This window comes from Homo sapiens, chromosome 4, assembly GCF_000001405.40.
Source record: "Homo sapiens chromosome 4, GRCh38.p14 Primary Assembly".
NCBI lineage: Eukaryota > Metazoa > Chordata > Mammalia > Primates > Hominidae > Homo > Homo sapiens.
The window spans coordinates 76644122-76672118 of NC_000004.12; the positions used below are offsets into that span (position 1 = coordinate 76644122).

Here is a 27997-nt window from a genome sequence, read left to right on the forward strand (position 1 = left end):
GCATGAGCCACCACACCCAGCCCACCTCTTTTCTTTTATATATATAGGCTGCTGTATTACCATCATTTATGTCAATAGTAATCCTTTTTTCCAAAAGGTGATCATACTGTTTTGTAACATGCTTTTTCTTTTTCTTTTTTTTTTTTTTGGCAGAGTTTTTGCTCTTGTTGCCCAGGCTGGAGTGCAATGGCATCATCTCAGCTTACCACAACCTCTCTCCCGGATTCAAGCAATTCTCCTGCCTCAGCCTCCCGAGTAGCTGGGATAACAGGCATGCGCCACCATGTCTGGCTAATTTTTTGTATTTTTAGTAGAGATAGGGTTTCTCTATGTTGGTCAGGCTGTTCTCGAACTCCTGACCTCAGGTGATCCGCCCACCTCGGCCTACCGTAACAAGCTTTTTAATTTAATAAATAGGACAGCTTTCCATGTCAGGACATACGGGGTTTTTTTTTTTTAACTTTTATTTTTAATTGAAACATAATAATTACATATATTTAAGGGATACAATGTGATGATTTGATACATGTATACATTGTGTAATAATCAAATCAGGGTAATTAGCAAGGATATACACTTTTATATTATTTCCTTTAAAAGTTATATAGGATTCACTTTCACTTTCAGCATCATTTCATCTGGATTCACGTTCTTTTGCAATTACCAGAGCAACATATCTGATGTGACCTAGATTCTTACCTCAATGCCATTTTTGTTCCTTTTGTGTCTTGGACAGGACTTAAGGAGAAGCAAGTTCAAATGGGGTTCAGTTTTCTGTTTCTGTGAAAACAAGAAAAGCTAGTACTTATGTAGTACTTATGTAGCACTTATGAGCCAGCAACTATTCCTAGCTCCATTGTACAGATAAGGAGACTGAGGCCTAGAGAGATTAAGTAATTTACTTGCTCAAGGTCATACAGTTAGAAAGTCAGAACTTGAACCCTGGCTCTTTGACTCCAAAGCCTGTATATTTACACCACACTGTCTCTTTATCTCTTTTACAAGTCTTTTACCTAAACTAATTAATATGAAGTGGCTTCCATAGCATTATGCAGTCAACCATGGTGTAAAAGTCAATAAAGATAAGCCCTACCACTTATCTCTGTGGCTCAACTAGCAGCAGAAAGCAGGGAGTTGTCTGAAGGAGCAGCTTCATTTCGGCTGTTTCTCTCTCCAGCCTCTCCCCACCGGTCACTGTTAGCCTCGAGTTTGACCCTCAACATCCCCAGAGGATGCCTCCTAGGACTCGAACCTCATTTAGTGTCTCTACTGCTGATGGACGCCATGAGTGGAGCTGTCGACCACCTTGGGTGAAGTGGTGGTCTCCACGTCCCACCTGGGCAGCACGATGGCCACAGAAAGGTTGTATCTACCCCACCCAGCACAACACATGCAGAAATTTCAAAAGAGCCTATTTAAGTAGATGAGCATAGATAGATAATTCTGGGAGAACATCCTTAAAAGGAGTTTGGTTTTTTGTTTGCTTTGTGTGGGTTTTTGTCTAAATAAACTAGACTGCTTTAATATACTGCCTCTTTTAATGAAATAAAGTAATTGTTTCCTTAGCTGTGTGCTAGGAAAGCCAATACAAAGACATATAAGAAAAACCCCACAGACCTAGATTCTTAAAACCATTCATATTTGATCCCATTCTCAAGATATCTCATTATATACATGCAAATAGTCCAAAATCTGGAAAAATCCCAAATCCAAAACACTTCTTCTTCCAAGAATTTCAGATAAGGGTTACTTAGCCTGCCTCATACTCCCCAAAATAGGCATCTTCATAGAACTTCAGGGTGAGAAGGGGACCGAAGATTTAAGAAGTTCCATTTCTTCTCTGATACATTTTCCAACAGTCCCCCAAAGTGGGCAACTAGCTTCCATCTGAACACAGTCAAGGAAAGTGAACTCACTAAGTAGGAAAGCAGACTATTTCATTTTCAGAACCCGTTGAGGGAGGGGGAAGGGATAGCATTAGGAGATATACCTAATGTAAACGATGAGTTAACGGGTGCAGCACACCAACATGGCACATGTATACATATGTAACAAACCTGCATGTTGTGCACATGTACCCTAGAACTTAAAGTATAATAAATAAATATATATATATATATATATATAAAATTAAAAAAAAGAACCTGTTGAATTGCAACAGTGTTCTTCTTTATGGTAACTCCATATCTGCTGTCCCAAAACTTCAATTCTTTCATCCTTCTTAGACCAAACAGAAAACATCGAATAGTTTTTATACTTTACCACCTTCCAATCTTTAAGAATAGTCACCATTTCCTTGCCAAATTGTTTCTTTTCCAGGTTAAGGTCTTTAATTCAATCTTCACCTATTATTCCCATGTCATGATCTAGCATTTTGGACTGTTAAGGTCCCTCTTCTTTGATATGCCCTAAATTGTCCATGTTGCTCTCAGACTGTGACATTTATCACATAACACGGTACTTCAGGGAAGACTAGATAAGGACAGCCACTTACCTTGCTCTTGATGGTCTACTTCTATTAGATGTGCTAAGCTTAAGATTTCATCCAATTCTTTAAAAGCAGGGGAAATTAAGGAACTTTATTCTGGAAAGTTTGTAAAGAAATCAACCAGTCATGGAATGGCAATTATGAAAAGCACAAAAAATAACACATGTTGGTAAGTATGCAGAGAAAAGGCAACTCTTATACACTGTTGGTGGGAGCGTAAATTAGTCCAGCCACTGTGGAAAATAGTATGGCAATTTCTCGAAAAACTGAAAATAGAACTACCCTTTGAGCCAGCAATCCCACTACTGGGTATCTATCCAAAGGAAAAGAAATCAGTATATCAAAGGGATACCTGCACTCACATTTTGAGCGCTATTCACAATAGCAAGATATGGAATCCTAAGTGTTCATCAGCGGGCAAAAGGATAAAGAAAATGTATATACACATAGTGGAATACTATTTGGCCATAAAAAAGAATGAAATCATGTCATTTGCAGCAACATGGGTGGAACTAGAGGTTCTTAACGTTAAGTGAAATAAGCCAGGTAGAGAAAGACAAATATCATCGTATGTTTTCACTCATATGTGGGGGCTAAAAAAGTTGATCCCAGGGAGGTAGAGAGTCGAGTGTTAGATATTAAAGGCTGGGAAGGGTAAGTGGGTGAGTGGTGGTGATGAAGAGATGTTGGTTAATGGGTACAAACTTACAGTTAAAGGAATACGCTCTAATGTTCGACAGCAGAGTGGGGTGACTATAGTTCAAAACAATGTATTGTGTATTTCACAGTAGCTAGAAAAGAGACTTGAAAAACTCCCAACACGTAGAAATGATGAATACTCCAGGTGATAGATACCGTAAATACTCCAACTTAATCATTACACATTCTATGCATGTAACAAAATATCACATGTATCCCATAACTATGTACATATATTATGTATTAATAAAAATAAATAGAAATCAACTGGTCAATTTATTTTTCTTCAAACAATAATACAGGAAGCCAGGCAGAGTGGATCATACCTGTAATCCCAGCACTTTGAGAGGCCAAGGCAGGCAGATCGCTTGAGCCCAGGAATTCAAGACCAGCCTGGGCAACATGGTGAAACCCCATCTCTACAGAAAAATACAAAAATTAGCTGGATGTGGTGATGTGCACCTGTAGTCCTAGCTACTTGGAAGGCTGAGGTGGGAGGATTGCTTGAGCCCTGGAGGTTGAGTCTGTGGTGAGCAGTGATCATGTACAAGCTGCACCCCAGCCTGGGAGACACAGCTAGACTCTGTCTCAAATAATAATAATAATACAGAAAAAAACTATGGACCTAGATATTTTATTTTATGTATCGTAGTATCTTTCTTACATATCAGTTTTTATAATAATATTTATCCATGATACCATCTGTAAGACAGGAATTGTGTAAAAATAACAATGCTGGCTATGCACAGTGACTCATACCTGTGGTCCCAGCACTTTGGGAGGCTAAGACAGGAGGCTCACTTGAGACCAGGAGTTCAAGACCACCCTGAGCAACATAGTGAGACCCTGTCTCTGCAAAAAATTAAAAAATTACCCAGGCATGGTGGTGCGTACCTGTGGTCCCAGCCACTAAGGAGGCTGGGATGGGAGGATTGCTTGAGTCCAGGAAGCTGAGGCTGCAATGAACTATGAGTGCACCACTGCACTCTAGCCTTGGTGACAGAGTGATATCTTATCTTTAAAAAAAGAAAGAAAGAAAAACAAAAAACCAATGCTTAACTTTTCATAAGTGTCTGAGTAACAATCCCTGTGGTACCAAATATTGTGGCCTGTTGAAAGTAAGAGATGAACTATTGTAGAGTATTTCTTTATGCCAGTGATTCTTTGAAATGGATGGCTAGGCTGTTAAAGACCTGCATTTTTTTTTTTAGCAGCCTCCTCCTCGGCCCACCCTTTACTGCCATCTTGATGGAGTCATGTTTATATGAATTTGTTCAGATCGCTTTGAAAGAGCTCACTACTTCCCTCCTCCACTGAGGATTTAGGTACCCACTCCAGATCCAGATTCGGTTTTGTATCACTAGAAAAAATGTAATAGAGTAGATCTATCTGAAAAGGCTTTCTTTGATTAGAAACTGTGACCATGTAGATGTAAGATTTGATTATAACTTTAGACTTAACTGGAGAAGTTATTGCTAGAATATACAAGGCAACATGTGGTGGTGGATATATGAAGGTGGAAAAATACATTAGATGTCCTTATATCATTTTCTAAAAAGCATATGATGGGGGGAGCTGTATAGGAGAGTATCACAGAAAATTATCACATATAGGAAACTATCGTCAAAATTAACAGTGTCCCTCAGCCATTGATTAAATAAAAAAAGGAGGACAAAATTTTTTAAGACAAATGAACTTTAAATAAAGGCCACTAATTATAGCAGAGAATGTGTTGGATAAGAGTAGGTATATGTAATTATATAGTAATTATGCTGAAAATGTAATCACATGCCACCGGCTAGCTAGTTAACCATTTTGCTGGGGGATGAATCCACCCCCAGCAACCATCTCCTTCTGATCTCAGAGACCCACATTGACTTTGTTAGAATGTGTGATATGGTTTCTTCTTAGAAGGGTGACCTTTTCCTGGCCAATTAAAAGGTGCTGCTTTGAGGATATTGGAACCCATACTCAAAGGGATAAAAGGAAATTGAAACTTCTATTAAAAGGAGCTAATGATGCCTGGAGCAGTGGGGATTAAAAAAGAACAAAGTCAGTCTTAAAAAGATCCCCCAAATCAAAGAGCTGCTTCTCTCATCAAATACCAGAAGAAAGCAAAATGATTTTTAATGAAAAGTGGGGCAATGGATTCAGCCTTTTCCCTGGATCCTAGGGCTTCAATCAAAACCAGTGAGTAGTTTTAAGCAAAATTCTTTGAACATTTGGGATAATTATGCTACATAAATTTGACATGGTGTTGTAAAAGGTAAACTAGCTTTTCTTCCAAATTAGAGAAATAATAAAGACAAATATCAGAAGGATAACTCTAAAAAATCATACAGATAAGAGTGCTTTATAACTGATTCCCCATCTGATACAAAATAATTCCTGGGTTAAAATCTAGCATTTTGATGATAAAAGTATAGGAAATCACTGTCAAAATTGTCCTGTGGTGGACAATTGTTAGGTGATTGCTGTGATTGTAATTAGCACAACCTTGGTAGGTTGTACATTCCTTAATACACTTTCTTATCACCATCTGCATTAGTCTACTTGGGCAGCCATAACAAAATACCACAGACCATGTGGCTTAAGCAACAGAAATGTATTTTTGACAGCTCTGGTGGCTGTAAAGTCCAAGATCAAGGTGCTTGCAGAATTCAATTTCTGGTGAGGGCATTCTTCCTGGCTCGCAGGTGGCTTCCTTCTCCTTATGTCCTTACATAGCTTTTCCTAGGTGGATGTGCTTGGAGAGAGTTTAAAAATGAGCTCTCCAATGTCTCTACTTATAATGATATTAATCCTATCTGATCAGGGCCCTACCTTTAAGACCTTATCTCCAAATACGGCCACAGTGAAAGTTAGGGCTTCAACATGAGAATTTGGGGAGTACATAAACATTTAGTCCAGCAACTCAAAACTACAATGAGATATCTCACCCAAGTTAAAATGGCTCATATTCAAAAGACAGGCAATGACAAATGCTGGTGAGAGTGTAGAGAAAAGGGAACCCTCATACACTGTTAATGGGAATGTAAATTAGCACAACCACTATGGAGAACAGTTTGGAGCTTTCTCAACAAACTAAAAAGAGATCTACTATACAATCTAGCAATCCCACTGCAGGGTATATACCTCAAAGAGAGGAAATCAGTGTATCAAAGAGGTATCTGCACTTCTGTGTTTGTTGCAACATTCTTTTTTTTAAGTATATTTATTTATTTATTTATTTATTTATTTATTTATTTATTTATTTGATGGAGTCTTGCTCTGTCACCCAGGCTGGAGTGCAGCGGTACGATCTCAGCTCACTGCAACCTCTGCTGCCCGGGTTCAAGCGATTCTCCTGCCTCAGCCTCCCAAGTAGCTGGGATTACAGGCGTATGCCACCACGCCCAGCTAATTTTTGTGTTTTTAGTAGAGATGGGGTTTCAGCAACTTGGCCAGGCTGATCTTGAACTCCTGACCTCGTGATCCACCCATCTCAGTCTCCCAAAGTGCTGGGATTATAGGCATGAGCCACTGCGCTGGCCTCAATATTCTTTACAATAGCTAAGATTTGGAAGCAACTTAAATGTCCATCAACAGATGAATGGATAAAGAAAATGTGGTACTTATACACAATGGAGTACTATTTAGCCATGAAAAAGAATAGAACCAGTCATTTGCAACAACATGGATGGAACTGGAGATCACTATGTTAAGAAATAAGCCAGGCACAGAAAGACAAACATTGCATGTTCTCACTTATTTGTGGGATTTAAAAATCGAAACAATTGAGCTCATAAACATAGAGAGTAGAAGGATGTTACCATAGGCTGGGAAGGGTAGTGGTGGGCTGGGTGGGGAGGTAAGGATGGTTAATGGGTAAAAACAAAATGGAAAGAATAAATAAGACCTACTATTTGAAAGCACAACAGGGTGACTATAGTCAATAATAACTTAATCGTGTATTTTAAAATCACCTAAAGAGTGTAATTGGATTATTTGTAATTCAAAGGAAAGATGCTTGAGGGGGATGGATACCCCATTCTCCATGATGTAGTTATTTCACATTGCATGTCTGTATTAACACATCTCATGTAACCCATAAATATATATATATATATATATATATATATATATATATATATATATACCTACTATGTACCCACAAAAAATGAAAGTAAAAGTATGATTTTTAAAAAACCACTTAGTCCATACCACCATCCAACAATAAGCAAGAAGCCAGGGAATCTCTGGGCTTGTCAAGTAGCTGGGTTTCCTGCCACACTTGGATATCAATGGCTAATGTCTTTACCACTTAAAGAATAGTTGGGAGAGTGGCTGGCAAGCAGTCAGGAAACCTAAAAGCCAGCTAGTGCTGCATTTTCTATTTGTTTAAATTATAAATGAATTAATTGTCCAAGCCAAAGAGCATAACCAGTAGAAGCCTCCTCCTTACAAATTTGCTTGAACTCCCAAAAGATATGTTTAATGGCAATGTAACCAATCGGGAAATTCTTTGTCATAAACCATCAGTTTTGAATATGAGTCATCTATACAGCAAATCGGGGTATTGGCAAAGGAAGCTTCACAATGTCCAGCTTTACTGCCCCTGCACTTCAGCCTGCCATGGTTTTAATGGTGGCTAAAATCATTATTTTACAATTGAAAATCTTTTCTAGAAAGCTGGTCATTCCTATTTATACTTGGACTCAAAGCTACCTAAGGGGCCCAGGATGCCTCATCTCAGCTTGGAAATTCTAGAATTAATTATGTGTTCTAGGATGAATTAAGTGTTCAATTCAATTCCAAAAAAGGACACAACCATTTCTGTGCTCATATGTATTAGGCTGAGGCAAACTTACCTGGTGTTGGCAGTTGGTTTTGGCAGTTTAATAATTTGAGCTAGATAAAGAAAAAGGAGGTTGTTGAGACAAGAAAGATGGCTCTTCTCAAAAGTAAAAGACATCTGGACTGATAAGAAGGCAACTGAGAGAGAAGCTAAAGATAACCAAGAGAAACTGATCATAAATTTGCCTCAAGGTTCAGACAGGGGGTCATGCAGTTGAATTATAGGCAGGGGTCATGGTGGCGGCTTTAGAACTTGTGTCCTGATTCTGATGTCTCTAGGCAGCCTCTGTCATGCACCCATCTCCAAACATTGGGAGGTTGAATATGCATGTATGAAAAGAATTGCCCAGTATAAACATGTATTATAGGTTACACATAGCTGATGGGACTATGAAGTCCCTGAGAAGTAGCTCAGCCTGTGTCCCATATCACAGGCTCCTGCCTTAACTGTGCTATGTCGAATGGCCAATAAAACTCATGCAACAGCATAAAAGTTTTAATTTTTACATTTCCTTATGATCCCAGGGAGACCAGGCCTTCCTGGAGAGGGTATTCCAGGTTATGAGTTCATGCAAAGTAAGAGATGTAAGAGATACACTTGAGTCTCCCTCTCTCTCTCTCTCTCTGTGATGTATGTGTGTGGTGTGTATAAGTGTGTGTGTGTATATATATACATATACACACACATATATAAAACATATAATATATAACTCAAAAAATATTAGCTGGTGAGCTAATATATGTTTACCCTCACGATCCAGGCATTCTACTTGGTTGTTGAGGGATGTAGACCTGGAGCAGATATATCATGGTGTGGTGAGACAAGAGATGGGAGGAGAGGGCCATGCATCATATTCCATTGATCCTCAGTAGGACTTTTGCTATATTTACAGTCTAACTTCAAAGCTAGAACTGATCTCCCTTAAGTCTGAGGCTATGAAATGAGCTCATATTATGAAGAATTGCTCAGTAAACTTAAAGAAGTATACCATACAATTATATGGTTTATATCAAGTATGATGATCATTTCTGCCACTTGTACCACTAAGCGGTCAGGGTTAGGAATCCTATATTGAATTCTTCCATGTGCCAGACCTTGTTCTAGATCAGGATTTTTCAGCCTTGGTGCTGTTACTGTTTGGGGTTGGATAGTTCTTTGTTGTTGGGTCTGCCCTGGCCATTGAAGGATGCTTAGTAGCATCCCTGGCCTTTACCCAATAAATGGTAGAAGCATAGCACCTTCCCCCAATTGTGACAACCCAGGTGTCTCCAGACATTGCAGGATGTCCTCTGGGAGCAAAATTGCCCCTGGTTGAGAACCAGCATTCTAGATACATGACATATGGTATGACATGTGGTATATGCAAAAAGCATGAACTGCAGAGTCACATTCTTGTCTTCATTTCTTCATTCATTTTATTTAACTAATTAATTTTTTTGAGACAGAGTCTCACTTTGTCACTCAGGCTGGAGTACAGTGGCACCATCTCAGCTCACTGCAACCTCCGCCTCCTGGGCTCGAAGGATCCTCCCACCTCAGCCTTCTGAGTAGCTGGGACTACAGGGCCATGCCACCACACCTGGCTAATTTTTGTATTTTCAGTAGGGACGAGGTTTTTCCATGTTGCACAGGCTGGTCTCAGACTCCCAGACTCAAGTGATCTGCCCACCTCAGCTTCCCAAAGTGCTGGGCCTATGGCTTAGCTGAGCCACCATGCTCAGCTCGTTCATTTTATTTATTGAGCCTTTGCAACATGCCATGAACTGTGCTAGGTTATGGGGATACAAAGATGAGTAAGGCATGGTTTTTGCCTTAAATAGAAGACTCTAGTAATGGAGAAAAACTCATATATAGATAAATTACCAATCAATGTGGTAAATGTAACAAAATAGACATGATAACAGGCTTGGGTAGAGAGTTCCTAACCCAGCTGGGCAGTAGAAGCTGGAGGCGTCAAGAAAAGCTTTCTCGAGTTGTCTGGCCTGAACTGAGTCTTAGATAAGTGGGTAGAGGAGGTGAGGACACTGAAGCAGAGGCATAATTCAGTGTTGCAGTTAACGTCGAAGTGTAAGATAAGACACAGGTGAAAAAGCCTGGTGTGTGTTGAGTGTTGGGAAGGGAACGTTAAAAGTCTGCCGAGGTAGACAGGTGACCTTGTCTGGCATTCTGAGAGTTTGTACTTTATTCTAAGAGGTGGGGAGCCATTGAGAGCCTTCAAGTAAGGAAGTGACATGTTTTTGTTTAAACCAGTTGTTTTGGCAACCTCTACTGGCTGGACTCAAGGGATCCTCCCACCTCAGCCTCCCAAGTAGCTGGGACTACAGGTGTGTGCCAACATGCCCAGCTAATTTTTGTATTTTTTTTGTAGAGATGGGGTTTCACCATGTTGCCCAGGCTGCCATGCAGAAAATGGATTAAAGGAGCACAAGAGTGAAAGCAGGGAGACAATTTAGATTTGCCAAGAGGTGATGAGGGCTTGACCTAGGGCAATGGGAAATAGGGGACAGGATTTGGGAAATATTTTGGAGATAAAACAGTATGATTTAGTGACTCTTTTGATACAGGAGATGAGGAGGAGGGGGAGGGTTCAAGGATGATTGCCTCTCACAGTTGGGGTGCCACCATCATTGCCTATCCTATAGGAAATATATAGTGATGGTAATTATTGTATTATGCTATTATATTAACTTATTATCCTCAGTTTGCAAATGATAAAATTAAGGCTCAAAGGAGAAAGTTGCTTAGCCCAAAGTCACACAGCTATTGAGTAGAGAAGCCAGGATTTGAGATCTATTTGACTATCTGACTTCCAGCCTATCATACTATGTGGCTCTGGCTAAGTATGGATTAAAGTGGTGAAAATGAATCATTCAGAAAGTAGTCAGCTTGGTTACTGCTGGCCTTTATGCTTGGCCAGTGCTCAGTATTTGTTGAAGAAAGGAATGATTTTAATGAAAATTATACTAATATATTTACATATCATTTTCATGTATTTCAAATTAGAATGCATGAGGGGAAAAATAAATAGCTTATCCAATATTATATGCAAATATCCCCCACCTGAGCTGCAGCTTTAGTCTCTTCTCAGGTTCCTGCAGCTACAAGTGAAGTCCTGAGGTCCCCTAGTCCATTGTTCTGCCTCTTTGTTTAATCACTCACCATGTTCTCTTTAGACACAGTGCTAAGGACACAGGTATAGCAAATACTTGTTAAATGATTCAGTCATTTATACATTTTTAGCATCACCATTACATTCTGGGCCAATAAGAGGACCTTCAGTCCTATTGTCATTTCTATCCAAAAATATTAAATGTGACCACGACCAAGAAAGACTGTTGGGCAGGAAAAAAGGGAAAAATGTCACTGGGCTAAAAGTGGAAAGTTATGGATATTGTTAAGATAAACACAAAGAAATTCCTGTGTTCTTTTCTCTAGGGTTGCTCACTTAACCTTTCCGTCTCCAAGTCCAGACTTCAAAGCTCCAAGAAAAAACAAGATACAACACTGTAGGATTAGCTGCCCAATTTACTTATATTTTAAGAAAGTGTCCAAAAAGGCCAGTTAAGCCTGTCTGACAGCAGTGACAGGTCTCATCGTCAGAAATTTCAAGAATGATTATAGCCTGTGACCTGTGATGGCTCCAAAGGCCATAGGAATTGCCAGGGGATGTCACTGGCATTTATCTCTCAGGATCACCTTCCTTCTCTCTGCTGGGGGAGTCAGTTCTGGACCTGGATGGAAAAGGATTCCCAGTACCCAGTTACATAGCTGCTTACATCTGTTATCTGTGCATGTGAGGTTTTATACTAGACCGGAAAATAGAGAGACAGTCACAGTTTTGTATTCATGAAATTAGAGACTCGTGGAGACCATTCTGCTGTGGCCTGTTCTTACCCTGCTGTATCAGAGATTCCTTGGTCTGGAGTCAGGGACTCAGGCATGGTGAGGGCGCCAGGAGAGCTGGCAGGGAGTTCCTCATTTCTTATTCCTGCTGCTCCTGCTTCATTTCCAACTATAAGGAAACTCATGGAAGTATTTTTAGTGTATTTGTGGTACCAGAGCCCCTCACCATTCCCAAGACAAGGCTTGACTTTCCATCCCATAGTATAAGCAGAGTCTTGTACTACGGTTCCTCTTAGGAATTACTGCTGGGCAGTAGGTTATTAATAGTAACAGTTCACACCCAGTCCAATTTAAAAGAAACAGATTGTTCCTTTAAAAAATCTTCTCTGAATTTAAATTACAGGTATTTATAATATTTCTCCACTTCTTACCTAGACACTGGATATTCCTCCAGGTTAAATGCCCTTGGACTATATTTTTCTTTGCCTGCTGGATTTTATTCACTCTTTATATCTCAGTGTCATAGGCCCTTTCTAACCCTCACTGAGTTGCATGGCACCTGGAAAAAGCCCTTCTTACTCGACTGTAATATAATTGTCCATGAAAGACCTCAACATTTCTTTGGGAGCAGAGATGGTTTGCATTTATTGTAGTATCTCCAATAAGGCACATGCAGTGGGATGTCAAAGAAGGCTTGAACTGAATAGGAGCACATCCTAACTTGCAGGCCAGTAGACGTGGATCTGTACCAATGTCTGTCTCTTACCAGCTGCATAATGGAAACATTACTTACTCTTGCTGAACCCACATGAAAAATGGAAATAATCATCTTACCTTCAAGAGTTGTGAAAAATCAAACAAGTTCCTGGCAGAAAGTAGGTGCTGAATAAATACACATATTCACCAGGCACAGTTGCTCATGCCTGTAATCCCAGCACTTTGGGAGGCTGAGGTGGGTGGATCACCTGAGGTCAGGAGTTCGAGACCAGCCTGGCCGACATAGTGAAACCACCATCTCTACTACTAAAAATACAAAAAATTAGATGGGCGTGGTGGCAGGTGCCTGTAATCCCAGCTACTCAGAGGGCTGAGGCAGGAGAATTGCTTGAACCCAAGAGATGAAGGTTGCAGTGAGCCGAGATCATGCCATTGAACTCCAGCCTGGGCAACAAGAGCGAAACTCTCTCTCTCTCTCTCTCTCGCTCTCTCTCTCTCTATATATATATATACACATATTCATTTGATCATTATACTAGGTTGAGGATTTAAGTTCTTTCCAAAACATTTATGTAAGGCCGTTGATAGATGGTGAGAAGTCTTAATCTAAGTATCAACGTATTTTCTAAAATAATTTTGAACATTGTGAGAGGCAGAGTGAAAGAAACACAGTATTTGAAGTCAAAAGACTTGGTTTGATTCATTTTGTGACTTTTCCTCCTGGTAAATGACATATACACTCATTTATAGCCATTCATGATGTTCAAAGCTATTTGCCTTAACTTGTCCCTGAATATGCCTGCTCATTACTAGCGCTAACATTTTTAAATGGAATATCTGTTACTCATTTATAATTGCTTTCTTTTGGTTCAAAGTGTGCTCTGCTCTCCTAATGTTCCCAAATAGTGAGGGTGCTGCTGTTTGGGGGTGGGGGGGTCCCCTTGGAGTTTAGATTCTGTTTCTGTGGTGCAACAGTGACATCCATTGACCTGTTATGCTAATTATAGAAGAAACCTGCTTCTCTGCTCTGTGACTGTTGGATTTTCTGATATAAAGATACAAAGAGAACAAACTGTCTCCGGGCCCAAGTAAGACAAGCTAGTGGTCAACACCTGGTCCCCTGCAGACTGGGCTGGTTTCAGGACCCTTCCCAAGGATACATATTCTAAGATCAGTGCCAGCTGGGTGTTCCCTTCTGGTCAAGTGGAGACAGTCCTAGAACTGGTCCTCTCCATGGAGTTCAGCACGTTCATTGGGCTGTTGGGAAACCATTGGTTTGGGCTCCAGCATAAGCCAGGGCAAATCACTTTGCCTCTGGACTTTTCCACATTGATAAAATGAAGTCGATAGCAATACCTGCTTTGTAGTTACCAAAGTGCTCTTCCATGCATTTTATAATAACTTCCCACAATCCCACAACAATTGTGAAAATTAGGAAAGCACAGATCAGATCTGCTTAGCATCCACCGACTGTGAGGATGTGAAGCTGAACACCAAATTACAGGGTTTCAAACCTCAAGCCTTGGTGACTTATGTTTGCTACCTTAGTTGGAATTAATGAAATCATTACAGAAATTCCTGCTTCATTTCTGGAAGAGCCCTCAGGGGAGGTTCTAAAAATGGAAAATCAAAGGAAAGGCTATGTGGCTGGATGTGAGAGATTGAGCAATGAGTCAGTATCTTTAAGTAGAAAAAGATTTACATTGCTGGTTTCCATCTCCATAAAGAACATAACAGGAAATAGCAAGACTAAAAATATTTATTTTTGCCTAGTATGTGTCAGATACTCTGTTAAGCATTAAGAATGGAGGATAAACTAGACAAACTGTTTCATACCATCCAGAACCTCACTGTCAAGTGAGCAATACAGAGCAGGAACAGTGAACTATATATAATAGTGTGGTAAATGTTACATCAAGCATTCCTGCAGGATGCTACCCTTCCAAACCCCCTCCCATGTGTGTATGTGTGTGTGTGTTTGTGTGTGTGTGCACATGCCCGCATGTGTGCTTGGTAGGATCCAACTAGTAACTAACATAGGTACCTTTGGATGGATAAACAGATGAATAGTGTCAATTCAACTGGAAGCCAAAACATCAAACATTTTTCAATATCAAAACCAAGCAGATTGCAAAACTGACACATCAGATACATACCACACACAAAAACAAAACCCAAGGATTCAATTGCACTTTGTGTCATTTCATAGTAAATCTTTTTTTGGAAACAATTAGGGAATGTGTAACTAATTTGTGGTGGACTTAGCGAAACCCACCACTGACTCACTGGTAAAGCCTTTTCAAAACACTGTTATGATTAAACAAACCAAAAAAAAAAAGGCTCATCTAAAAATGGACCTCATTCAGATCCCATTCTTCCTTCTCGGTTGGTCCTCTAGCATGAAAAGCTTGGTTCTGGTGTCCCCTCTGATTAAATTGTCTCATTGGAACCCTCATTGTGAATACTCAAGGCCCATCCTTCAGCCACCTCTCCTCTCCCTCAAAGCACTTCCCGATGTGAACTGACTCTTCCTCACTAGAGAGCCTCAAGTGGATGGATCACTCCCTACTTACAGGTGGAACTTTCTGAGGACAGAAGCCAACAGCAGACCCCAGGCACCTTGCCAAGAGGCCAGGCCCCATGACTGAGTTCTTTACTCCCCCACCATCTAGCCATCTGGGCTCCTTTGGAAAAAGTACAGCCCATAGTTTAAAACATTACTTTTCATATTGGTCATTTGGGTTTAGAGCCATATGTTAGACAAACTGAGATTTTAGCCTACAGTTGTTGGCTCTCTTTGCAATTCTTATGTATATGTAACAAGCACCAAAGTATATATCAGAAATCCAGTGAAGTTGCTGTGGGCTTTCAGAAGCATTTATTTATTTATTTATGAGCTAGAGTCTCACTCTGTTGCCCAGGCTGAAGTGCTGTGGCATGACCTTGGCTCACTGCAACCTCCGCCTCCCAGGTTCAAGCGATTCTCCTGCCTCAGTCTCCAAAGTAGCTGGGACTACAGGTGTGCGCCACCACACCCAGCTAATTTTTGTATTTTTAGTAGAGATGGGGTTTTGCCATGTTGGCCAAGCTGGTCTTGAACTCCTGACATCAGGTGATCCACCCTTCTTGGCCTCCCAAAGTGCTGGGATTACAGGCGTGAGCCACCGCACCCAGCCTGAGAAAACTTTTTTACAAAACAAGAAAAGATGGGTTCATTTTGACTGAAGCAACCCATCTAAAACATGCATATGCTGAATAAACCAAGAATGAAGCTGCGCAGGGGTATTCCCAGAGGCTGTGCTCAGATGCTGGGTATCACACGGAGGCCACCAGACTCGAGAGTGTGAAGCTCACTGCCCCTCCCCACCTCACACGCACCTCTCTCACCCACGTCAGGGCACTGCCACCCGCCTCTGTGCACCCCAGCCCCCTCCAGAGCTCTTCTTGCTTGGGAAGCTCCAGCACCATCAGCATCTTCACCATTCATCTTTTAGCAATTTGCACTTGGGCATAGAATAAACCCACAAGGAGCCCTTTGCAGGACTATCTGATTAAGTGCATAGAGTGATTTGAGGTCCTCTCTAGAGGTCTCACTGCCCAAAAATCTTTCACCCAGCTGCTTAGGGTCCCATATCCCTCTATGAGGGGCTCATTCATTTGAGTTAACTCTTACCCTGTCTGTTTTTAAATAGCTACCCCTAGGAGAGAGTCATCAACACCTCAGCGATAACTAGTCTATCACATATTGGTTGCATTATTTTTTATATTTATTTTAATTAATTTTTTTTAAGATGGAGTCTTGCTCTGTTGCCTGGGCTAGAGTGCAGTGGAGCAATCTCGGCTCACTGCAACCTCCGCCTCCCAGATTCAAATGATTCGTCTGCCTCAGCCTCCTGAGTAGCTGGGATTACAGGCACCTGCCACTACACCCAGCTAATTTTTGTATTTTTAGTAGAGACGGGGTTTCACCATGTTGGTCAGGCTGGTCTCAAACTCCTGACCTCAGGTAATCCACCTGCCTCAGCCTCCCAAAGTGCTGGGATTATAGACATGAGCCACTGTGCCTGGCCTGATGAATCATTTTTTTTCATTTGTGGGTGGTTATTTTGTTTTTTGAGACACAGTCTCACTCTGTCACCCAGGCTGAAGTGCAGGAGCACAATCATAGCTCACTGCAGCCCTGAACTGGTCTCAAGTAATCCTCCCACCCTAGCTTCCTGAGTAAATGGGACTACCGGCATGTACCACCATGCCGGCTTAATTTTTTATGTTTTGTAAAGACAGTGTCTCACTGTTACCCAAGCTTGTCTTGAACTCCTGGCCTCAAGTGATCCTCCTGCCTCAGCCTCCCAAAGTGCTAGGATTACAGGTGTGAGCCACTGTACCTGGCTTAATTTGTTTTTAAAGATATTTTTATTGAGAGATAATTTATATAAAATGTGTGACTCTTGAGTATTCCAGTTCCATGAATCCTGACAAATGTATTCACTTGTGTAATCCACATCCCTATCAAACTATAATCCATTTTCTTTTTTTTTTTTCTGAGACGGAGTCTCGCTCTGTCGCCCAGGCTGGAGTGCAATGGCGCGATCTCGGCTCACACAAGCTCCACCTCCTGGGTTCACGCCATTCTCCTGCCTCAGCCTACCAAGTAGCTGGGAATACAAGCGCCCGCCACCACGCCTGGCTAATTTTTTTGTATTTTTAGTAGAGACGGGGTTTCACCACGTTAGCCAGGATGGTCTCGATCTCCTGACCTCATGATCCGCCCACCTCGGCCTCCCAAAGCGCTGGGTGGGATTACAGGCGTGAGACACTGCGCCTGGCAAATATAGTCCATTTTTATCACCAGATAAAGTTTCTTTGTGCCCCTTTCCAGTCCGCTCTGCACCTCCAGGCACCTACTGTTCTGATTTATTTCACCATAGATTAGTTTTTTCTATCCTAGAAATTCGTTAAATGAAATAACACAGTATATAATCTTTTTTGTTGATATTTGTCACTCAATGTAAGGTTTCTGAACTTTATCTGTGTTGTTGCTTGTATTAATAGTTCATTGTTTATCCATTCTCCTACTGATGGACATTTGGATTGTGTCTAGTTTGGGGCTATTATGAATAAAGCTGCTACAGATATTACTGTACAAGTATTTTTGTAGACATGTGTTTTCATTTTTCTTGGGTAAATACCTAAGAGTAAAATGCTACCTCATAAGGTGGATGTGTGTTCGATTTTCCATACCCTTTTCCAAAGTGTGGTACCATTTTGTTCCATAACCTTCCCAACATGTGGTACTGGCAGTTGTGTTAGTTTTCTATTGCTGCATAAGAAACTATTACAAATGAAGTGTCTTGAAGCAGCACTTATTTATTAGCTCACAATACTCTAGGTCACGGCTGTGCATGGCATCATTGGGTTCTCTACCTAAGACCTCACAAAGCTGAAATCAAGGTGTAGACTGAGCTGGGCTCTTATCTGGAGGCTCTAGGGGATTCTACTTCGAAGTTCCTTCTTGTTGTTGGTTGAATTCAGCTCCTTCTTGTTGTTGTTTGAATTCAGTTTCTTGTGGTTGTAGGATGAAGTCCCCATTTCCTTAATGGCTCTCACCCAGAGCTGCTCTCTCTGCTCCCAGAGGCAGCCTGCATTTCTTCTCACATGGAACCCCACACACCCATCTTCAAGCCTGCAAGACGCATTGAATCCCCCTCGTGCTTTGAATCTCTCTGCCTTCCTCTTCTACTGCCAGGCAGAGAATAAAAACTCTGCTTTTTAAAAGACTCACCTGCCTGGGCCAAACCTACCTGGATAATCTCCTGTATCTTAAGATTCATTGACTTGGGACTTCAATTGCATCTGCAATTTCCCTTCACAATCGATGTTTGAATAACTAGGGGACAGGAATCTTGGGACATCTTCAGAATTCTGCCTACCATAGCAGTCCATGATGAAGTCCTAAAATCAGGATCACTTTTCATTATCCAGTTGCTTAAGAATCCACGTATACTTTCCTTCTAAAGAAGCATGCCTACTGTAGGTTCAATAATTGCAATCCTGTGGTTCGAGCTACTTGAGAGGCTGAGGCAGGAAGATTGCTTGAGCCTAGGAGTTCGAGGCTGCAGTAGGCTGTGATTGCGACAGTGTGCTCCAGCCTGGGCAACAAAGCAAGACCCTATCTGAGGGAGAGGGAGAGAGAGAGGTAGAGGGAGAGGGAGAGGAAGGGAGAGGGAGAGGGAGGGAGAGAGGGAGAGAGGGAGAGAGAGAGATTCACAGAGTTGGTTACTGAGAGCCATGTCTCTAGATTCCTAGCCTAGAACATTGTCTACTACACTCTAATCACTTCTTGCTTCTAGACAGAGTCTGATCCTATAAGGGGACTTTGCGGTTTGGTAATTTAAATCACCATAAAAGTCTCTGGAAATCTAGAAAACATTTATTGAAAATCATGCATAGATAGTTCCAAATCAAAATTTTTAAACTGGCTAAATCTATTCCAAGAAAAGTTATACTTTGTCAGCTTGAAACCAACTGGGTAGGGAAGGAGCCATTGGGTCTGGCATGTTCATGCCTAGGTGTTAAGATCTTAGGATTTCTCGGTTGTGTGTTTGAAATCTCACTCAACCCGGGGACCCTGCATATCTCCCTAATAGAGAATAAGTAATCATAGGCCTGGCATTCAAGATACTCTCATAAGCCTTTTATTTTTCAAGATAGATTCCAGAGAAGTTGGTTGTGAAGCTACACAACTTGCTAAGTCAAGGCTAGAATCCAGGTCTCCCTGTTGCTATACACCAGAGGTAATAACCAGCAGCAAAGAAGCCCAATCTCTCGTGAAGCTGTGCTTTGTTTGGCCCATAGATTGTTGTTGTTCTTGTTGATTTAGAGATGGAGCCTCACTATGTTGCTCAGGCTGAACTCCTGGGCTAAAGTGATCCTCCTCCCTCAGCCTCCTGGGTAGCTGGGATTATAGGTGCACACTGCTGCGCACAGCTTTGGTTTTTAATTGGATTAATTTCCAATATTTAAAACTTGGAAAACTTTACATAAACATCCAGATGTCCAGGATTTTTCTGAAAAGTTGGGAACTCAGGTAACAGTGGACCCACTTTCTGCAGTGTAACAGTTGGGTTAGAGTGGTCCTTTAAACAGGACATGAGGCCTTCAGTGGCCATAGTTCCAACTGGTTCACTTTCCCCATTTACCCTCTTGGTCTCTGTAGGAACTTGAGTCATGACACCTGCCTCACCCCAAGCTGCAGTTCTGAGATACCTTGTCTGACTATTCAAACAATTTCTTATCTGGCCTATATATACCAAGTATGTTTGGCTCTCATTTCCTGGCAGTTGAAAATAATAAACCAGATTTTCAAAGTGGGTGAACTACTTGCTGGCTGTAAGTCTGGCGTCATTGAAAGAATACTTTCTCTGTAGGCCCATAGTCATTTACCACATGGGATCCTCCTGGCTGTCAGCATTCATGTAATTTCAAAAAGTATCCCTTTCCTTATGTGCTAGCTTACTCCTCAGAAAGTTCTGACTTTCAGTGAATAAAACATCTGATATTTGTGAAGTCAAAGAGTTTGCCTAGAAAAGCCACTTTCTCATCTAAAGAGCTTACTGAACCTAACTTCTTTGGAGAACATCTGTGTAGCCATATGAAATTAATGCAGGCAGTTGTTAATTGATCATTCTTCTTGAGTTTATGCAGCCAGAATCTTTCATTGATTAATAGTTGTGATTCTCAATCTTAGCTGCACATGACAATGATCTTGACAGCTTTTAAAAATAATGATGCCTGTGCTACAATTAAAATAGTCGTGATGATGATGATGCCTGCCATTCATCCCCAGAAATTCTGATTCAGTTGGTTTGAGGTTGGTCCTGGGCCTCTGGGTCTTTATGCTTTTGTTACTGTTGTATCGTTTTATTGTGGCAAACAGACACACACATACTCACATACATTAAATTTGTCATCTTAACCAGTTTTAAGTGTATAGGTCAATAATGTTAAGTGTATAGTTCAATAAGTTTAAGTATATCAAAGTTATTGTGCAATGGAGCTTGATAACTTTTTTATCCTGCAAAACTGAAACTCTATACACACTAAAAACTCCATTTCCCTCTTCCACAGCCTCTGGTTGCGCCTTGGTTTTAAAGGCTTCCAGGTGGTCGAGCACGGTGGCTTTTGCCTGTAATCCTAGCACTTTGGTAGGCCGAGGTGGGCAGATCACTTGAGCCCAGGAGTTTGAGACCAGCCTGGGCAACACAGTGAGACCACGTCTCAAAAATATATATATTAACAAAATAAAGGCTTCCAGGTGATTCAGATGTGCCTCCAACCTTGACTTGGAGGGAAGGATTCCCACCTCAAAGGGGTTCTAAGGATTTTACAGTTCTTACCAGGGTTTCCACAGCTGCCAATACCATCTACAAATAGGTAGGATGGGTTTTTTGTGTACACAGTAGTACTAGGACTTCTGATGAACTTGAGTACAGTTAGCCTCTGCTTCAGGCCTCCAACTGTGGAACCACCTCCACTTGGCTGCAGCTTTACCTATGAAGTACTCATTCATGCCATGTGGCCTGGCTGGGATCCATGGGGTTTTTTTAATCTCCTATCTCTCTGCCATTTATAGCTTGTGTTTGATTTCTTGACCCACCCTTAATACCAGTTGAGGGTGGGGCACCTGGGAAGGTGTACCAGGAAGCTGTGGCATTCCAAGAGTTCTTTGGACTTGGACTGTCAGAAGAACCAGTCATCTGGAAGAGAGCCCAGATCCATATGGACTTCCTGCACCAGCAGTGGTGAAATTCAAGGCTTTGCCTGGAGTCCTGGACTGTTCTATGGATTTGGCTGCTTTTTGTCACATCTACAATAATTAAAATGGTGTTTTGTGATGTTTGTGGCTGTTTAAGCTTACCTATTTTATTAACTTGATTCCTGGCACTTTCATCTGTCTCTCATGATCCCAATAGAATAGAAACATTGCCCTGTTCTGGTATTTTCCATGAGCTACCTGTTGTGTTCATCTGTGGAAAACAGTTGTTTTGAGAAACAGATTCAAGTTGATGGAGCTAGGACCTGGCTTGCATCCTTTTTTTGTAGCATAAAATTCAAAACCTCTCTCTCCTGTTTACTGGTATATGTCTAATCTTTCTCTCTGCCATCAGGCGTGACATCCTGACCCCACGCCATACCTTCATTCCCTGATAAGCGCTGCCCTGGTAAGTTCCACTGCATCAGTGCTGACCTACCTGACCTGGCATACTACAGAAATCTTTAAGTGCATTAGGACGTTCCAGCTGAACACTTTTATCACAAAAGCAAACAAGACTGGGTCACCCTTAGGACCCCTATGGATTACTGGGAAAAAAAGAAAATTTTATGAGGAAAATCTGGGGTTAAAGTGTTGTTGACTTACGGTGGTACCTCTAAAATCCTTTAAAAAAGAGTAATTTTCTGCATTGTCGGTCTAGGGTTTAAGAAAAGTCCAGTGATACCCCAGTGTCAAAGCTGCAGAAAGTTCTGGCCTCACTCATTGCAGCTGGAGCTTTGCAGTTTTAATCTTGGACTTGTTCATGTGATTACTTCTATTCAGATACATCAGTGGATTACAGCCTGCCTGGTGTAATCACGGCTCACTGCAGCCTCTACCTCCAGGTCTCAAATGATCCTCCCACCTCAGTCCCCTGAGTAGGTGGGACTGCAGGCATACACCATTATGCCCAACCAATTTTTAAATTATTTTTTGTAGAAACAAAGTCTCACTCTGTTGCCTTAGCTAATCTAATCTTGAACTGGTGGGCTCAAATGATCCTCCCTCCTCAGCCTCTCAAAGTGCTGGGATTACAGGCATAAGCGATCATGCCCGGCCTGTTATGTAGTCTTTATAACATTTTTTTAAAAAGAGGAAATGCTAAGCAAATAGATGTTATTAAAATTGTAGTGCAAACCAAAACGAGAATGTGGGAAGATGTTATAAGATGTATGATAAAGATCTTTCAATTCTTATATCTTAATTTCTTAAAAGGAAATACAGAGCAAGCAGGGACTCAGAGCTATCTGCATACCCATGTTCATAGCAGCATCATTGATGATAGACAAAGGGTAGAGGCAACCCAAGTGTCCATGGAGGGAAGAATAAATAAACAAACTGTGGTATAAACATTTAATGGCCTATCATTCTGCCTTAAAAAGGAATGAAATCCTGTTACAGAATATGACATAGGTGAACTTTGGGAATGTTATGCTAAGTGAAAGAAGCCAGTCACAGAAGGAAAAATACAGTGTAATTCCACTTATACAAGTTACCTAGAATAGTCAAATTCATAGAAACAGAAAGTAGAATGGTGGTTGGCAGGGGCTGGGGAATGGGAGGATTGGACAATTATTGTTCAGTGTGTACAAAGTTTCAGTTTTACAACTTCGTAAAACTGAAGAGTAAAAGAGTTCTGAGTACAAGAGTAAAAGAGTTCTGAGTACAAGAGTAAAAGAGTTCTGTAGATGAATGCTGGTGATGGTTGCACAACAGCATGAATATACTTAATGCCCCTGGACTGTACACTTACATGTGGTTAAGATGGTTCACTTTACATTATGTAGGCTGTTTTTTCTTTTGTTTTGTTTCGTTTTTTTTAGACAGGTTCTCGCTCTGTCACCCATGCTGGATGCAGTGATGTGATCACGGCTTACTGCAGCCTCAATCTCCAGGGCTCAGGCGATCCTCCCACCTCAGCCCTGAGTAGCTGGGACTACAGGCATGTGCCATCATACCCAGATAATTTTTAAATTATTTTTTGTAGAAACAAGGTCTCACTCTGTTGCTGGTCTTCAACTCATGGGCTCAAGCAATCCTTCCTCCTCAGCCTCCCAAAGTACTGGGATTACAGGCATGAGCCATCATGCCCAGCCTGTTATGTATTCTTTACAACAATTTGTTTAAAGGGGAAATGCTAAGCAAATAGAAGATGTTATTAAAATTGTTGCTTGGGCGCGGTGGCTCACGCCTGTAATCCCAGCACTTTGGGAGGCTGAGGCGGGCGGATCATGAGGTCAGGAGATCGAGACCTTCCTGGCCAACACGCTGAAACCCCGCCTCTACTAAAATACAAAAAAATTAGCTGGGCGTGGTGGCGCCCGCCTGTAGTCCTAGCTACTCGGGAGGCTGAAGCAGGGGAATCACTTGAACCCGGGAGGCGGAGGTTGCAGTGAGCCAAGGTGCGCCACTGCACTCCAGCCTGGGCGACAGAAGGAGACTCCCTCTCAAAAAAAAAAAAAAAAAAAAAAAAAAGTTGTTCTGCAGGTGCACGCAGGGTGCGGGGAGGGAGCACATAATGTCACGCCCCCTCTCCCTTGTCCACCGCTGCAGCCTCCTCCTGCAGCTCCTGGTGCTGCTTGTGTGCTCCTTCGGTGAGGACCTGGTACCTCTTCTGTGAAGCGGCAGCTGAGGAGACTCCGGCGCTCCCCATGGCCGGCGAAAAGCCCAAGGAAGGAGTCAAGACTGAGAACAACGATCATATTAGTTTGAAGGTGGCGGGGCAGGATAGTTCTGTGGTGCAGTTTGATTAAAAGGCATATGTCGGGCGCGGTGGCTCACACCTGTAATTCTAGCACTTTGGGAGGCTGAGGCAGGCAGATCACCTGAGGTCAGGAGTTCGAGACCAGACTGGCCAAAATGGTGAAACCCCGTCTCTACTAAAAATACAACAACAACAACAAAAATTAGCCGGACGTAGTGGCACATGCCTGTAATCCTAGCTACTCAGGAGGCTGAGGTGGGAGAATTGCTTGAACCAAGGAGGCAGAGGTTGCAGTGGGCTGAGATTGTGCCATTGCACTCCAGCTGGGGCGACAACAGCAAAACTCCGCCTCAAAACAAACAAACAAACAAACAAACAAATGAAAAAAACTAAGAGGCATACATCACTTAGTAAACTAATGAAAGCGTATTGTGAATGATAGGGATTGTCAATGAGGCAGATCAGATTCCGATTTGACAGGCAACAAATCAATGAAACAGACACACCTGCACAGTTTGAAATAGAGGATGAAGATACAATTGATGTGTTCCAACAGCAGAGGGGAGGTGTCTACTGAGAAGGGAAGCTGCTTCGTTACTCCAGGACTGTTTTCTTTTCAGACCAACATGACATTCTCAGTTAGAAAACTGCAATTTGGTTCTACCACATTCTGACTACTACAGTATAGTTTTCTCTATTATTTAATTTCCCCCTTCCCCATTCCTTTATTGCACATAAAGTAACTGGCATATGTGCACAAGCATATTGCATTTTTTAACTAAACAGCCAATGGTATGTTTTGATTGACATCACATGGAGACGGGATAGGGAAAAATACTGATTGTGTGAAAATGCCCCCTTTCTCCTTTAGTGGCATGCTCACTCAGCTCTTATCTTTCTATTCTAGTAAGTTATTTTGCTTTTACTGTTTTAACAAAACAACAACATAAAAATCCTTGTATACCTTGTTCAATTGGAGAATTTTAATGTTTTTCATTTATCCTTGTTAAACCAAGGACGGTTTTATAACTCTTTTGTATGTAGCTGTTACGTGTAGGGGAATCTGTCTTTAAGTAGGGATAAATTACTCTAAAACAAACAAAAAAAGTAATCCTATGGCTGGACTCAGTGGCTCACACCTGTAATCCTAGCAGTTTGGGAGGCCGAGGCAGGCAGATCACTTGAGGTCAGGAGTTCAAAACCAGCCTGGCCAACATGGTAAAACCCTGTCTCTACTAAAAATTCAAAAAGAATTAGCTGGGTGTGCCTGTAATCTCAGCTACTCGGGAGGCTGAGGTGGGAGAATCACTTGAACCCGGGAGGTAGAGGTTGCAGTGAGCCGAGATCGGGCCACTGCACTGCTACAGAGCAAAACTCTGTCTCAAAAAAAAAAAAAGAATCCTAGATACTTTTCTCTTCACATATCTTGTTTAAATAAACTTTTTGCTTAAAATTTAAAAAAAAAATAATAATTGTTGTGCAAACCAAAACGAGTATGTGGGATGTTACATGAATTTCTCTTTGGTCAGATTTATATAGAGGTGAGACTAAGTCACAGAGAATTGCTTTTATTATGCCTGAGGAATGCATCTTAAACATGGGACATGCTGCTCAAAAACGGGCCTAACTTTGTTAGATGTTTTAAGGAAACTAAGGTTCCACATCCATGTGCCTACCTGCCAACTGGGCACACCCACACCATATCTCATAGGCACTTGCCCCAGACTGAGGTAATCTTTCTCATCAAAACTGCTCTCTTTCTAGTCTTCCCCATTTCTGTGAATTAGGTATCATCACTCATCAGTTGCCAAGCTTGAAATCTGGGCATCTTCCTTGCCCCCTTCATTTTTCTCACAACCTCCCACATCTAATAAAAATTAACAAGGCCTCTGTCTGTCCACTGCAAGACTTTTACACAAATGTTCAAAGCAGAATTATTCATCATAGACCAAATGTGGGAATAATCCAAGTGTTCATCAACTTGTAAATAGAAAAATGAAATGTTGTATTTCTACACAATAGAATACTATTCTACAATAAACAGGAATTAACTATTGAAACATGCTACAACACAGACGGACCTCAAAAACATTATGCTAAGTAAAGGAAGCCAGACACAAAAGATTACATATTGTGATTCAAGTTATTTGAAATATCTAGAAAAGGAAAATCTATAGAGACAAAAAGGAGATCAGTGATGCCTGGGTTAGGGGGTGGGAGCAGGGATTGGGCATGAGGGAATTTTGGGGGTGATGAAAATGTCCTAAACCTGGATTATAGTGATGGTTGCAAAACTCTATCCATTTACTAAAAATCATTGAATTGTATACTTTTTTTTAAAAAAGGCATTTTATTTGAAAAATAACTTAGATATTTTATATTGAATCAAACAGATTTATTATAGAAAGAAAAGCAAAGGGCATAACTGTATAAATCAAGAAAGAGATTTTGGCTAGGTGCAGTGGCACATGCCTGTAATCCTAGCACTTTGGGAGGCCAAGGCGGGTGGATCACTTGAGCTCAGGAACTTAGACCACCCTGGGCAATATGGCAAAACCCTCTCTCTACTAAACATACAAAAATTAGCCGGGCATGGTGGTGCATGCCTGTGGTCTCAGATACTTGGGAGATTGAAGTGGGAGGATCACTTGAGCCTGGGAGGTCACAGTGAGCTGAGATCATGCCACTGCACCCCAGGCTGGGTGCAGAGTAAGACCCTGTTTCAAAAATAAATAAATAAATAAAAATAAAAGAGTTCAAGAAGATTAACAAGACCTATCCACTCCATTTTCTAATTTGTCTCCCTATCCTCACCTCCCTTTTAATCCCCTCTGCTATTACCCTAGTTTAGCCTATTTATTTGTTTGTTCAACAAACATTTGACCACCTACTATGTGCCAGCCACTTTCCTAGATGCTTGAGGTATAGTAAACAAACCAAGCAGACCCCTGGCCTCATGGAGCTTACATATTGGCAATAGAGGGGCCAGCATCACCTCCAGGTGTACTCCCACGACTGTGCCCTAACTGTTCTCCCTACCTCTGGCCTTGCCCCACTCCATCAGTGTCCACTACAACCATAGTGATCCTTCAAGAATGCAGATCTGATCCTGTCCCTCTGCTTAAAAACTTCCAATGGCTTCCAGTTGCCTTTTGGATAAACTTCAAACTCCTAACCAGGACTTGACTGTAGCTGTGTATCTGGAGCCGGCCAGGCCTTTGTGCCCAGGCTGTGTGTGCCAGCTGTAGCCACTTCCTCCTTTGTGCTCTCCTCCATCCATACTGGCATCTTCCCTTTCCTGGGTCTGCCAGCCCTCTTCATTCTCTTTGCTAACCTAACTCCCATTTAATCTCTATATCTCTGTTTAGAATCCTTTTGCAATCCCTCAGTTCCAGTTTAGGGGGCCTTCCTATAGTTCCCCAGTCTGCCAGACAGATTTCATCACACAGTTCCCATGGAAAAGAGATGCACAATAAAACATGTTAATAAAACACGTTAGGTGAATGAACACCCAGAAAGAAACATCTAGAGAGAGACAGGTTGAGCCAATACAGGTTAAGTATCTCTTATCCTACATGCTTGGAACCAGAAGTGTTTTGGATTTCAGATTTTTAAAAATTTTTTTTGGATTTTGATATTTTTGCATTATATATTTACCAGCTGAGCATCCCTTATCCAAAAATCCAAAATCCACAGTGCTCCAGTGAAGATTTCCTTTGGGCATCACGTCAGTGCTCAAAAAGTTTCAGATTTTGGGGCAGTTTGGATTTCAGATTTTTGTATTAGGGATACTCAACATATATTGACTTTTGTTACTTATGTGATACCATAGCCCCCACATTTAAGGGAAAGAGTGTTTTTCAGAGTTAGGAAACAGGAGCTTTATATACAATTTCC

General features: G+C 41.4%; 1 protein-coding gene, 1 long non-coding RNA gene and 1 pseudogene across 9 annotated transcripts in view, besides 1 other annotated feature; 2 read left to right on the top strand and 1 right to left on the bottom strand.

Annotated features, from left to right (window-relative positions):
- Positions 1-3556, bottom strand: part of LOC105377290 (uncharacterized) — a 32582-nt gene extending 29026 nt beyond the window's left edge. For 6 of the 8 annotated variants that reach the window (XR_001741404.2, XR_007058149.1, XR_007058148.1 and 3 more), the window contains exon 1: positions 700-2754. This is a non-coding gene — a long non-coding RNA (uncharacterized LOC105377290). Of the gene's footprint in view, positions 1-699; positions 2755-3513 lie in introns of those variants that run through there. The other 2 variants (XR_007058146.1, XR_007058147.1) reach the window with 2 other exon arrangements.
- SHROOM3 (shroom family member 3) overlaps positions 1-27997 on the top strand; it is a 348025-nt gene that overhangs the window by 208893 nt on the left and 111135 nt on the right. The gene's annotated exons all lie outside the window — the stretch shown is intronic.
- Positions 20635-21834: an enhancer, noted in NCBI's record as "CDK7 strongly-dependent group 2 enhancer chr4:77585909-77587108 (GRCh37/hg19 assembly coordinates)". NCBI's record gives its function as "activates an origin of replication core promoter dependent on BRD2, BRD4, P300/CBP, MED14 and CDK7 cofactors, with strong dependence on CDK7, by STARR-seq in HCT116 cells {active_cell/tissue: HCT116}" and the evidence as "EXISTENCE:reporter gene assay evidence [ECO:0000049][PMID:35650434]".
- On the top strand, positions 23927-24974 carry SUMO2P11 (SUMO2 pseudogene 11; annotated as a pseudogene).